The sequence below is a fragment of the Homo sapiens genome, chromosome 20, assembly GCF_000001405.40.
Source record: "Homo sapiens chromosome 20, GRCh38.p14 Primary Assembly".
In the NCBI taxonomy this organism is placed as follows: Eukaryota; Metazoa; Chordata; class Mammalia; order Primates; family Hominidae; genus Homo; species Homo sapiens.
The window spans coordinates 33,426,951-33,441,117 of NC_000020.11; the positions used below are offsets into that span (position 1 = coordinate 33,426,951).

Below are 14,167 nucleotides of genomic sequence, written 5' to 3' on the forward strand. Positions count from 1 at the left end.
TACTCAGGAGGCTGAGGTGGGAGGATCACTTGAGCCCAGGAGGTTGAGGCTAAAGTGAGCTGTGATTGTGCCACTGTACTCTAGCCTGGGTGACAGAGAGAAACCCTGTCTCAAAAAAAAAAAAAAAAAAGCCAATTTAAAAATAAATAAATAAGTGAAAGATTCAATACCTGTAAAGCACCTTCTCCTGCCTGGCATAGAACAGGGCTGTCTGGAGATAGCAGTGTGGTTATGATTTCTGCTGCTGTTCCTAGTGTGACAGTATAAGGGGATAGGCATGTAATGTGGTGACAGGCAGACAAGGATTTGAATCCAGGCCCCGTAATATCACTTGCATGAGGCAAGGTCTCTCTGAGCCTCAGTTTCTTTGCCTATATAATGGGCACTGATATGTCAACCCTCAACTTGAACTTGAGGATTCAAGTTCCAGCTGCCCACCCATCCACCCAGGATGGTGTGAAGAGGACTTGGGATTCCAACAGGCCCTGGAAGGGATGACCTTTAAGGTCTTGCTGGTCTAGCAAGGCTGAACTATAAATAGTCCCCAGACTCTGGCAGGCCCTATAACAGGGATGACCAGCAGAGCCCAGGGGTTGCCACACTTTGGGGGATAAAATCTCACCTTACCACACCCTTGAGTAGTACAGGGGTTACAACCTATACAAAATCCCAAAAGCATGTGACCCTTTTGACCTAACAGCAACCCTTCCAGGAACCACCCTTCAGATGAGTGCTCACAGGTGCACAGAAGGCTTATAGCGCTATTGTCCATCCTGCAAGAGGCTAGGGACAACTTGAATATTCATGAATAGGGGCTGCTAAAAACAAGATGTGAACTCCCTGACTGGCAGACACTCACTACTCAGTCTTGTTCATAGCTATATCCTTGGTGCCTGCATCTAGTCCTGGCACAGAGCAGGGGCTCAGTAAATATATGTTACATGAATAAACAAATCCATGGGATTTTTTTTTTTAATTTGTAGACATGGGGTCTTGCTATGTTGTCCAAGCTGGAGTGCAGTGGCTGTTCACAGGTGCATCATAGTGCACTCCGGCCTCGAATTCCTGGCCTCAAACAATCCTCCAACCTCAGCTTCAGGAGTAAATAGGACTACAGATGTGTAGTCCTCCAGCCCAATAATGGGACACCACATAACCATTAAAAAGAATGAGGGGCCGGGCACAGTGGCTCACACGTGTAATCCCAGCACTTTGGGAGGCCGATGGTGGGCAGATCACCTGAGCTCAGTAGTTCAAGACCAGCCTGGGCAACATGGCGAAATCCCATCTCCACAAAAAGCACAAAAATTTAGCTGGGTGTGGTGGTGTGCACCTGTAGTCCCAGCTATTCAGGAGGCTGAGATGGGAGGATCGCTTGAATCCAGGAGGTCGAGGCTGCAGTGAGCAATGATTATGCCACTGCACTCCAACCTGGGCAACAGAGTGAGACACTGTCTCAAAAAAATTATAAAATAAAAAATATTAAAAAGATAAAAAAGAATGAGACTTACATGTTCTCAACTTATTACGTGATAAAAGCAAATATGGAAACTTACTGGAAGAAAATGTGTGAAAGTATCAACACTGGTTATCTCTATAAGATGATCCCTTTACACTCTCGTTGGTAATTTTTTTTTTTTAAGAGACAGTGTCTTGCTTTGTTGCCCAGATTAGAGTACAGTGGCATAATCATAGTTTGGGTACAGCCTTGAACTCCTGGGCTCAAGCAATCCTCCTACCCAGCCTCCTGAGTAGCTGGGATTACAGGTGCACAACACTATGCCCAGCTAATTTTTAAAAAATTTTTTGGCCAGGCACAGTGGCTCACGCCTGTAATTCCAGCAGTCTGGGAGGCCGAGGCAGGTGGATTGCTTGAGGTCAGGAGTTCAAAACCAGCCTGACCAAGATGGTGAAACCCCATCCCTACTAAAAATACAAAAATTAGCCAGGTGTGGTGGCAGGCGCCTATAATCCCAGCTACTTGGGAGGCTGAGGCAGGAAAACTGCTTGAACCTGAGAGGCAAAGGTTGCAGTGAGCCAAGATCGTACCACTGCACTGCAACCTGGGCAACAAAGCAAGACTCGGTCTCAAAAAAAACAAAAATTTTTTGTAGGCCAGGCACGGTGGCTTATGCCTGTAATCCCAGGACTTTGGGAGGCCTTAGGCAGATCACTTGAGGTCAGGAGTTTGAGACTTGGCCAACATGGTGAAACCCCACCTATACTATATACAGAAATTAGCCAGGCATGGTGGCACATGCCTGTGATCCCAGCTACTTGAGAAGGTGAGGTAGGAGAATTGCTTGAACCCAGGAGGTGGAGGTTTGATTGAGCCAAGATAGTCCACTGCACTCCAGCCTGGGTAACACAGTAAGACTCCACCTAAAAAAAAAAAAAAAAAAAAAAAAAAAAAAAATTGGGTCAGGCATAGTGGCTCATGCCTGTAATCCTAGCACTTTGGGAGTCCGAGGCAGGTGGATCACCTGAGGCCAGGAGTGGCGAAACCCCATCTCTACTAAAAATACAAAAATTAGCCAGATGTGTTGGTGCGCGCCTGTAATCCTAGCTACTCGGGAGGCTGAGGCACGAGAATCGCTTGAACCCAGGAGGCAGAGGTTGCAGTGAGCCGAGATCATGCCATTGCACTCCAGCCTGGCCAACAAGAGAGAAACTCCATCTCAAAAAAACAAAAACAAAAACAAAAAAATTGTAGAGACGAGGCCTTGCCATGTTGCCTAGGCTAGTCTCGAACTCCTGGTCTCAAGGAATCCTCCCACCTCAGCCTCTGAAAGTGCTGGAATTATAGGCATGAGCCACTTATTTTTTTTTCGAGACAGGGTCTCACTCTGTCACCCAAGTTGGAGTGCAATGGCACAATCTCAGCTCACTCCATCCTCCACATCCCAGGCTCAAATGATCCTTCAGCCTCAGCATCCCAAGTAGCTGGGACTACAGGAATGTGCCACCATGCCTGGCTAATTTTTGTAACTTTTTTTTGGAGAGACAGGGTTTCGCTATGTTGCTCAGGCTAAGCTGGATATTTTTGAATGAGTATGTATTACTTTTTAAATTTTCTAAAAAATCTAGTTTATTTTTCAAAAATATACCACCACATACCAAGCCATACAAGCCATAGTTCAGAGATAATGCTCGTATCAACTCGGAAGCCTAGATTCAGGGTTCTAGAATCTTAGTGATGGGAGAAAGCAGTACTTATTGAGCGCCTACTATATATTGGGGCCAAGCTCAACTCTCTCGAACACACCTTCACCTTATTTCACCAATTTGATGAGATGAATTAATATCCTTATTTATGTTCATTTTTATTACTTTTTTCTTTTTTTTTTTTTTTTTTTGAGACGGAGTCTCACTCTGTCGCCCAGGCTGGAGTGCCGTGGCGTGATCTCAGCTCACTGCAACCTCCACCTCCTGGGCTCAAGCAATTCTCCTGCCTCAGCCTCCTGAGTAGCTGGGACTACAGGCACGCGCTAAATTTTGTATTTTTAGTAGAGACGGGGTTTCACCATGTTTACCAGGCTAGTCTTGAACTCCTGACCTCAGGTGATCCACCCGCCTCAGCCTCCCAAAGTGCTGGGATAACAGGTGGGAGCCACCGCACCCAGCCATAGTATCTTTATTTAATGGGTGAGTAAACTGAGTCTCAGAGAAGTGACATAACCTGTAGTGCAGATAAGTATTTAAGAAAATGAGTTTTCGCCGGGCGCAGTGGCTCACACCTGTAAATCCCAGCACTTTGGAAGGCAGAGGAGGGCGGATCACATGAGGTCAGGAATTCGAGACCAGCCTGGCTAACATGGTGAGATCTCATCTCTACTAAAAATACAAAAATTAGCCAGGTGTGGTGGCACATGCCTGTAATCCCAGCTACTTTAGAGACTGAGGCAGAAGAATCACTTGAACTGGGGAGGCGCAGATTGCAGTGAGCCGAGATCGTGCCACTGTACTCCAGCCTGGGCAACAGAGCGAGACTCCGTCTCAAAAAAAAAAAAAGATTATGGGTTTTCAGCCAGGCACACTGGCTCACACCTGTAATCCCAGCACGTCAGGAGGCTGAGGCAGGAGAATCACTTGAGTCCAGGAGTTTGAGACCAGCCTGGACAATATAGTGAGACCCTGTCTCTACAAAAAATCAAAACAATAATAGCTGGGTATGGTGGCACATGCCTGTAGTCCCAGCTACTGGAGAGGCTGTGGTGGGAGGATCACTTGAGCCCAGGAAGTCGAGGCTACAGTGAGCCGTGATCATGCAACTGCATTCCAGCCTGCATGACAGAGTGAGACCCTGTCTCTTACAAAATTTTTGTTTTTGATTAAAATATATATATATGAGTTTTGGCATCTGAAAGACTTGAGCTCATATTCCATCTCTGCCATACTGTGACCTTGGGCAAGTAATGTCACCTCTCTGAGCTTCAGTGTTCTCATCTATACAATGAACAATGTACCTAATTCACAGGGATGACATTGAGGATTCAATTAAATAACATAGGGAAGGGCCGGGCACGGTGGCTCACACCTGTAATCCCAGCACTTTGGGAGGCCGAGGCGGGTGGATCACCTGAGGTCAGGAGTTCGAGACCAGCCTGGCCAACATGGTGAAACCCCATCTCTACTAAAAATACAAAAAATTAGCCAGGCATGGTGGCACGCGCCTGTAGTCCCAGCTACTCGGGAGGCTGAAGTAGGAGAATCGCTTGAACCAGGGAGGTGGAGGTTGCAGTGAGCCGAGATCGTGCCACTGTACTCCAGCCTGGGCAATGGAGCGAGACTCCATCTCAAAGAAAAAAACAAGCATAGGGAAGGGACTTAGCACAGTAGGTGCTCATGGTGTTGAGCACAGTGTGGATGCTCAATAAGCAGCAGATGCTACCATCCTGATTATTATCACTATTATTTCCTCCACCACCAGCAGCAGCCAGGGTCACACAGCTCGTCAGGGCCAGAACCTGCCTACAGAGGCCCACAAGACATTTTAATCAAGGTCCGGGGAACAGGCCAGGGCTGGATTAAGCCAAGTTTTGTTTGTGGGGAGTCACATGGTCCAAAGCTATGCGTGTGCACAGCCAAGTAAACTTTTCCTTGAGAACAATGGTCAGAACAACAGGTCTTTGCGGCCATGGGAGAACTGAACAGGAGTTCCATTCATGCCCTCTTCCTGGGACAGGGGTCCCTCCAGCATCTCTGGGGCACAGCATGACTCAGCTAAGTTGAAACAGGGTGGCCCCAAATTAGCTACATCCAGAATGACATCCCGCTTTTGACAGTGGTGATGCATCAAGCCAGATCAAAGGCAGGACACCTGGCAGTGGCCATCTTCCTGGGAAGAGCCAGTAGGGAGCTGGCCTTAGAGTTCTGAGGACTCAGAACAGAAAAGCTCAAGAGTCAGTCAAGCTCAGCATGATTCTCAAGTCCCATCTTAAACATTTAGGAAAGTCAACAGCAATTGAAAAGGTGAAAGGTAAAGTAGAAAGGGTCCAAGATATACCCCACTGATCAGTCTCCAAACACTCACCAAGATCTAATGTATGTTGGGCTCAGTGCCAGACCTGGGGGCTGAGAGACAAGCTACATGTGGTTCCTGCCCTCAAACAGCTTCCAGTTTACTAAAGAAAACAATAACAGGATCAGGCGCAGTGGCTCATGCCTGTAACCCCAGCACTTTGGGAGGACTGCTAGAGCCCAGGAGTTCAAGACTAGCCTGGACAACACAGGGAGACCCTGTTTCTATTAATTTTTTTTAATTAGGCAGGTGTGGTAGCACATGCCGTCGTCCCAGCTACTTGAGAGGCTGAGATAGGAGGATCGCTTGAGCCCAGGAGTTGAGGCTGCAGTGAGCTGCAATCACACCTCTGTGCTATAGGCTGGGCAACAGAGTGAGATCCTAAATAAATAAATAAAAGCCTGATCTCTATGAGGGCTATACCTTCCTTACTTTATATAAAGCACTAAAATTCACTTTATTAATTTTTTTTTTTTGAGATAGAGACTCACTCTGTCACCCAAGCTGGAATGCAGTGGTGCAATCTTGGCTCACTGCGACATCCACCTCCTGGGTTCAAGTGATTCTCCTGTCTCAGCCTCCTGAGTAGCTGGGATTACAGGTGCCTGCCACCACGCCCAGCTAATTTTTATATTTTTCGTAGAGATGGAGTTTCACCATTTTGGCCAGGCTGGTCTCGAACTCCTGACCTCAGGTGGTCCACCCACCTCAGCCTCCCAAAGTGCTGGGATTACAGGCGTGAGCCACCTTGCCTGGCCTTAGTATTATTTTTTGTTTTTTGTCGGGTTTTTCTTTTTTCTTTTTTTTTTGAGATGGAGTTTTGCTCTTGTTGCCCCAGGCTGGAGTACAATGGTTCGATCTTGGCTCACTGAAACCTCTGCCTCCTGGGTTCAAGCAATTCTCCTACCTCAGCCTCCCGAGTAGCTGGGATTACAGGCGCGTGTCACCATGCTCAGCTAATTTTTGTATATTATTAGTAGAGACGGGGTTTCACCATGTTGCCCAGGCTAGTCTCGAACCCCTGACCTCAGTTGATCTGCCTGCCTCAGCCTCCCAAAGTGCTAGGATTACAGGCATGAGTCACCGCGCCCAGCCAGCATTATTTTTAATGCATGACAGGCTCACTGTTGTCACAGTCCTGCCAGCCACACTGGAATGGGAGGAGGGAAGGGTGTTTTCCTTGAGGCTGTCCCTCCCTCTTCCCCCAGGCCTGGCCTTCAAGGGCCCAGGCTGGCCCTGGCTTGAGGTCTGCACACACAACGGGCCTCTCGAAGCAGCGGACAGACACTTGTTGGCTGCCAACTTGGGCCCAGACTGTGGTCACAAACACACCCCTCTGGCTGAGAACAGGATCAGGACATTTCTGCAAACCCCTGACCTAGTAGAAGAAATGTTCTAGGAGGCAGGTTGGGGTTGCTGAGGCTCAGCTGAGCCCCCAACTTAGGCCAGGGAAGTAAGGCTCTAGCTGACACCTGGAGTTTGCTGGTAATGCTTGTTCTCCCAGGACATCCTCAGGGGATTCACTATCCACTGAGCTGGAAAAATATCCAGTTGCCTTGCCAAGTTCACATCCAAAGGACAGGCCATCCTTCCATGGCCCCTTGGAGGCGTCCTCAGTAATGGGATGTGAGTGGGGAAATGTTGAACAATGTGGTCAGTGATTCAACTCCGGGGAAACCTAGGCCCAGAGAGGGTCCCAGGAACCCTGGCTGCTCCAGACTGGTGCAACTGCCAGGCCCAGACCTTCTCCACTCCCCAAAGTCTCAAGGACCAGCCACAGCCCAGCATCCTCCTATCCTTCAGACCTCTCTGATCACTCTTGCCATTCAGAGATTCCTGACTCCAGTGCCTTCCACCACTCCTCCTCCCCTCTTTGTGCTATCTTGAGTGGAATGACCTCCTTCCATGAGATCTTGGGCCAGGAGAATAGGTCGAAAAAGACTTCAACTAAGGAAAAGTGGGGAAAAACATGAAGGCCACATTCTTCTTTCTCTTACCCAGGCCATAGGCAGGGTTCACCAAGGAATGATCTCGTCCTGTGAAACATCTCAGAGAATATAAGAGCAGGGGCCCCTCAGTCCTGGGATGATACACATGTTACTTCTCTACTGCATCTGTAGTAGACATTGCTAATCAATTCCAGCTCCTTTCTGCTGAGCCCAGACAAAGCCTCCCAATCCTTCCAAATATGGAACTCACAGAACCACCAGTGGAGCTGACGCTTACACTCTTTTTTTTTTTTTTCCTACAGAGATGAAATCTCACTGTGTTGCCCAAGCTGGTCTCGAACTCCTGGGCTCAAGTGATCTGCCCACCTAAGCCTCCCAAAGTGTTGGGATTACAGGCGTAAGCCACCACGCCTGCCTGGAGCTGCCACTCTAAATAAAAGCTATTGATCACCTCTGATCTAGCCTAACTTCAATAGGAAAACTGAGTCCCCTAGAAGGCAAGGGTCTTACCCAAGGCCAAACAGAGATTTATTGCAGAGCAGACAGGATTTCAGGCACCAGCTTTTTTTTTTTTTTTTTTTTTTTTTTTGAGATGGATTCTTGCTCTTGTCGCCCAGGCTGGAGTGCAGCGGCACAATCACGGCTCACTGCAACCTCCGCCTCCCGTGTTCAAGATTTTCCTACCTCAGCCTCCTGAGTAGCTGGGATTACAGGCACGCGCCACCATGGCTCAGCTAATTTTTGTATTTTTAGTAGAGACGGGGTTTCGCCATGTTGGCCAGGCTGGTCTCAAACTCCTGGCCTCAGGTGATCCACCCGCCTCAGCCTCCCAAAGTGCTGGGATTACAGGCGTGAGTCACAGCACCTAGCCACCGGCTTTTAAAGAGTTTCTGTAGGCCAGGCATGGTGGCTCACGTCTGTAATCCCAGCACTTTGGGAGGCCCAGGCAGGCAGATCACTGAGGCCGGGAGTTCGAGACCAGCCTGGCCAACATGGCAAAACCCTGTCTCTACTAAAAATACAAAAATTAACCAGGCCGTGGTGGTGCACACCTGTAATTCCAGCTACAGAACTGAGGCAGAGAATCGCTTGAACCTGGGAGAAGGAGGTTGCAGTAAGCTGAGATCGCACTACTGCACTCCAGCCTGGGCAACAGAGTGAGACCCTGCCTCAAGAAAAAAACACAGTTTGTGTAGAGGAGATAGTGTTTATGTTTTGTCTACCCTACCACATGGTGAGCTCCTTCAGGAGAGGCCCTGGGTGTAGTTTAGCTTCTGACCTTAATATACACAGCAGGCACACAGTAGATGTCCATGAATGTCTCTTGGCTTAGTGAGGAGGAATGCATGACATGAGTTAGAGGGAAGGCTTGAGTATTCACTCCTAAAGTCAGAAGATGCTTCAAGGTCACACATTTACAGATACTACCTTCTCAAAACGACATACATGGGAACCCAGATAGATACATTTTTAATCTAAAGATGAGGAGGTGGGCCGGGCGCGGTGGCTCACGCGTGTAATCCCAGCACTTTGGGAGGCCGGGGCGGGCAGATCACAAGGTCAGGAGATCGAGACCATCCTGGCTAACACGGTGAAACCACATCTCTACTAATAATACAAAAAATTAGCCAGGCGTGGTGGCGGGCACCTGTAGTCCCAGCTACTTGGGAGGCTGAGCAGGAGAATGGCGTGAACCCGGGAGGCGGAGCTTGCAGTGAGCCGAGATCCCGCCACTGCACTCCAACCTGGGTGACAGAGCAAGACTCTGTCTCAAAAATATAAATAAATAAAAATAAAAAATAAAGATGAGGAGGTGAGGGGACCTCCGTGTGAATGTGGATTTGAATTGTGTCTATAGCAGAAATTTTACCATAGACTAAACTTTCAAACAACAGAAGCTAAAAGAGCTTTCAAGTCAACTAAAATATGACATTTCGATGAATGTCAGTGGTTTCAAACCGCATTGCTGACTATAAATATCAAAGTAATGAGGCATGTGGGGAAAGTCTCTTATATCCATATCATTTATGTGGCATTCTATTATTTAACTTTGCCATTAAAATATGATTGATACACTTAAGCTTCTAAGGATCAACACTCTAGAGTCAGCTTTTTTTAAGTATCAAAAAAATGCATCTAGACTGGGCACTGTGGCCTGCAATCCCAGCACTTTGGGAGACTTAGGTGGGAGGATCCCTTAAGCCCAGGAGTTGGAGACCAGCCCAGGCAACATGGTGAAACCCTGTCTCTACAAAAAATTGGCTAGGTGTGGTGGCTCACGCCTGTAATCCCAGCACTTTGGGAGGCCGAGGCAGGCAGATCACGAGGTCAGGAGTTCGAGACCAGCCTGGCCAATATGGTGAAACCCTGTCTCTACTAAAAATACAAAAAAAAAATTAGCCAGGCGTGGTAGTGCGCACCTGTAGTCCCAGCTACTCGGAAGGCTAAGGCAGAAGAATCGCTTGAACCTGGAAGGCGGAGGATGCAGTGAGCCAAGATCGCGCCACTGCTCCAGCCTGGGCGACAGAGTAAGACTCCATCTCAAAAAAAAAAAAAAAAAAAAGCTAGGCGCAGGGGCTCACACCTGTAATCCCAGCACTTTTGGAGGCTGAGGCAGGTGGATCACAAGCTCAGGAGTTTGAGACCAGCCTGGCCAATATGGTGAAACCTCATCTCTACTAAAAATAAAAAAATTAGCCGGGCATGGTGGTGGGTGCCTGTAATCCCAGCTACTCAGGAGGCGGAGGCAGAAGAATTGCTTGAACCCGGGAGACGGAGGTTGCAGTGAGCCGAGATCATGCCACTGCACTCCAGCCTGGGCAACAGAGTGAGACTCCATCTCAGAAAAAAAAAAAAATTAACCAGGTGTGGTGGCATGCATCTGTAGTCCCAGCCACTCAGGAGGTTGAGGTGGGAGGATTGTTTGAGCCCCGGGGGGTGGAGGGTGCATTGAGCCAAGATCATACTACTGTACTCCAGCCTGGGTGATAGAGCAAGACCCTGTCTCGAAAAAAAAAAAAAACAAGAAAAAAAAATGCATCCATGGCATTTAAATAGATATACCTAAAATATAAAATAAAACTTTACATTTTATTTTCTTTATTTAAATTTTATTTTATTTTATATCTGGGTCAACCAAGGACCGAGAACCTATTTGCTTCTGTGGCCTCTTGGACACTCCTTTAGGGAAACCAAGGCAACCCACCAGGATTTGGGCCTGGGACTCAACTCAGCAGCTTCTCTGGCCGTGTTATTCTCCATCAGCCCCCGCCACCTCCCTGTGCCTGTTCTGGGCCATAAGCCAGAGACACATTCCTCAGGCCCCCACGGGGCTTCCAGAGCTGACAGAGTTTGAGGAAAGGGCTGAGCAAAGCAGAAACCTCTTGAGAGACATGGCACAAGATGGTCATGGGACAACCTCAGCAGGAGGCGTGTAACAACTGATGGGGAAACCGAGGCCCACAGAGGGCAAGGGTCCCACCCAAGACCACACTGTGAGGGAACAGTGGAGAAAGCCATTCAACCAAGGTTCCTCCACAAAACTCCTCTCTGATCCTGGCTGGAAGGATTTGATGTCCTACTCTATAAAAGCCAAGGCCTCTGGGCGTGGTGGCTCATGCCTGTAATCTCAGCACTTTGGGAGACTGAGGTGGGTGGATCACCTAAGGCCAGGAGTTCAAGACTAGCCTGGCCAACATGGCAAAACCCTGTCTCTACAAAAATATAAAAATTAGCTGGGCATGGTGACGCACACCTGTAATCCCAGCTACTTGGGAGGCTGAGGCAGGAGGATCACTTGAACCCAGGAGGCAGAGGTTGCGATGAACCAAGATCATGCCACTGTATTCCAGCCTGGACAACAGAGCAAGATTCCATCTCAAAAAAAAAATAAAGTAAAATAAAAGCCAAGGCTTCTCCCAAAGGAGGATGGGTCTTGGGGTTTTAAGGCCCAGGCACTAAAAGAACCTGAAGTCAAGAGCTCTCCAGGCCCCACAGGAAAGAATCTGACCTGCCCCTTCCCCAGTCCGCACCCCTCTCTCCCTGTGTCACTCAGGTGCTGGCACACTCTGCCATGTACATTTTTGCCCTAGTCGCAACAACCCAGAAAGGCAGGAGCTACATCCCTGTTTTACAAATGAGGAAACTAAGGATCAGGGAAATGAAGTGACTTGTCCAGGGCTACACAGCTAGTGACTGGAAGACAGAAAATGCAAATCAGGTCTGCTTGGCTCTATGCCAACTCTCCCTCCACCACCCCACACTGTCTTCAGGCAGGTCCCCAAATTCTGTTTCTGTTTTCAGTCCTGCCCACCTCCCAGCCCCCAGTGCTGGGATGGGGCCTTCTGAGGCCTGGGGGAGGTAGAGAAGCAGTGGAACACCTCCACCCAGCCCCTCTGAACCCTGGAACGTCAGTGCTTACCCTCCAGCACCACCTCCTTGCCTGTCTTCTTGAGGACCTGCACCGCCTCATCATGGGTAGCAGAGGACAAGTCTTCCCCATTCACAGACAGGATGGCATCCCCCACAAAAAGGGCCTCTGTCTGGTCAGCTGCCAATCCCTTGAAGATCTTGGAAATGAGAATAGGCATCTTGTTCTCCCGGCCGCCTGCACAGGTACAGAAGGAGGACAAGACTTAGGCAGATACTCCAACACTTGGGAGTCACATCAAGACACAATTATTTCTGAAGGCTTCCCTTGGTGCCTAGCCCAGTGCTGGAAAAGGCAATGGGAGAATAAAGGGAATCTGAGAAAAATCTTGGAAGTTTGGGACACTAGTAACACTAATAATAAATCATTTTTGATTAGGTCCGGTGGCTCATGCCTGTAATCCCAGCACCTTAGAAGGCTGAGGTGGGCAGGTCACCTGAGGTCAGGAGTTCAGGATCAGCCTGGGCAACATGGGAAAACCCCGCCTCTACTAAAAATACAAAAATTAGCCAGGCACCTGTGGTCTCAGCTACTAGGGAAGCTGAAGTAGGAGGATCACTTGAGCCCAGGAGGTCGAGGCTGCAGTGAGCTGAGATTGTGCCACTGCACTCCAGCTTGGGTGGCAGAAGGAGACCCTGTCTCAATAAATTAATTAATTAAATAAATCATTTTCAAAATTCATAATGCTATAGTTTGATCCCTGGATCTTTTGATTAAGTGCTTTGGGTGTTCACCAGTGTTTGTGCAACTTACAAAGTGCTTCAATCACTTTTTCTTAAATGTTTTCGATTTTCTCATGTAACCCATAAATATATATGCCTACTATGTACGCACAAAAATTAAAAATGAAAATAACCGGACAAAGTGGCTCACACCTGTAATCCCAACACTTTGGGAGGCCAAGGTGGTCGGATCACTTGAGACCAGTAGTTTGAGACCAGCCTGGCCAACATAGCGAAATCCTGCCTCTACTAAAAACACAAAAAAGGGCCAGGTGCGGTGGCTTATGCCTGTAATCCCAGCACTTTGGGAGGCCAAGGCTGCCAGGTGGATCACCTAAGGTCAGGAGTTCGAGACCAGCCTGGCCAACATAGTGAAACCCTGTCCCTACCAAAAATACAAAAAATTAACTGGGCGTGGTAGCGGATGCCTGTAATCCCAGCTACTCGGGAGGCTGAGGCAGGAGAATCACTTGGACCCAGGAGGCGGAGGTTGCAGTGAGCTGAGATCACGCCATTGCTCTCTAGCCTGGGCAACAAAAGTGAAACTCTGCTCAAAAAAGTAAATAAATACATAATAAAAAAATAAACAAATAAAAAAATATGGCTGGGCGTGGTGGCTCACGCCTGTAATCCCAGCACTTTGGGAGGCCAAGATGGGCAGATCACCTGAGGTTAGGGGTTCAAGACCAGCCTGGCCAACATGGCAAAACCCCATCTCTTCTAAAAGTACAAACATTAGCCGGGCATGGGGGCGCATGCCTGTAATCCCAGTTACTCGGGAGGCTGAGTCAGGAGAATTGCTTGAACCGGGAGGCTGAGGTTGCAATGAGCCAAGATTGCACCATTGCACTCCAGCCTGGGCAATAAGAGCGAAACTCCATCTCAAAAAATAAATAAATAAATAAATAAATACAAACACAAAAAATTAGCTGGGCCTGGTGGCACATGCCTGTAGTCCCAGCTACTCAGGAGGCTGAGGCAGCAGAATTGCTTGAACCCAGGAGGTGGAGGTTGCAGTGAGCCAAGATCACACCACTGCACTCCAGCATGGGCGACAGAACAAGACTCCATCTCAAAATAAAACAAAAATACAAAAATTAGCCAGGCATGGCGGTGTGTGCCTATAATTCCAGCTACTCAGGAGGCTGAGGCACGAGAACTGCTTGAACCCAGGAGGTGGAGATTGCAGTGAGCCGAGATCGCACCACTGCACTCCACCCTGGGCAACAGAGCAAGACTGTCTCACACACACACACAAAAAGGCAACAATGTGGGAACCCACTGATACCCCTCAAACCGGAATCAAGAGACAAGTCGGCTATTCCTATGGCCTCAAAAGACTGCTTTAGCAATCATAATGTTTTACAATCCAAAGTCCAGGCTGGAAACCAAAGCCTTAGAGTCTAGAGATTCTAAAAACCTGCCTGAATGGCATCTTGGATACAAAAGAAGCTAATACATTTTACTAAACATCTTTATTACCAAACTCTTAAATGCCCTTTTAAAATAAGAAATAGTAATAAGAGTTCACCTTAGTTGCACTTAC

General features: G+C 48.2%; 1 protein-coding gene across 6 annotated transcripts in view, besides 2 other annotated features; it reads right to left on the reverse strand.

Annotated features, from left to right (window-relative positions):
• SNTA1 (syntrophin alpha 1) overlaps window positions 1-14,167 on the reverse strand; it is a 35,807-nt gene that overhangs the window by 18,994 nt on the left and 2,646 nt on the right. For all 6 annotated transcript variants that reach the window (NM_001424413.1, NM_003098.3, XM_011529008.2 and 3 more), the window contains exon 2: window positions 11,891-12,076. In NM_001424413.1, coding sequence (NP_001411342.1) covers window positions 11,891-12,076 — 186 coding nt within the window. The remainder of the gene's footprint in view (window positions 1-11,890; window positions 12,077-14,167) is intronic.
• Window positions 11,880-11,929: an enhancer, noted in NCBI's record as "active region_17731". NCBI's record gives its function as "activates an Ori minimal core promoter by ATAC-STARR-seq in GM12878 lymphoblastoid cells {active_cell/tissue: GM12878}" and the evidence as "EXISTENCE:reporter gene assay evidence [ECO:0000049][PMID:35858748]".
• Window positions 13,170-13,348: a silencer, noted in NCBI's record as "fragment chr20:32027926-32028104 (GRCh37/hg19 assembly coordinates)". NCBI's record gives its function as "represses an EF-1alpha promoter that drives an FKBP-Casp9 reporter gene in an ReSE screen in K562 erythroleukemia cells {active_cell/tissue: K562}" and the evidence as "EXISTENCE:reporter gene assay evidence [ECO:0000049][PMID:32094911]".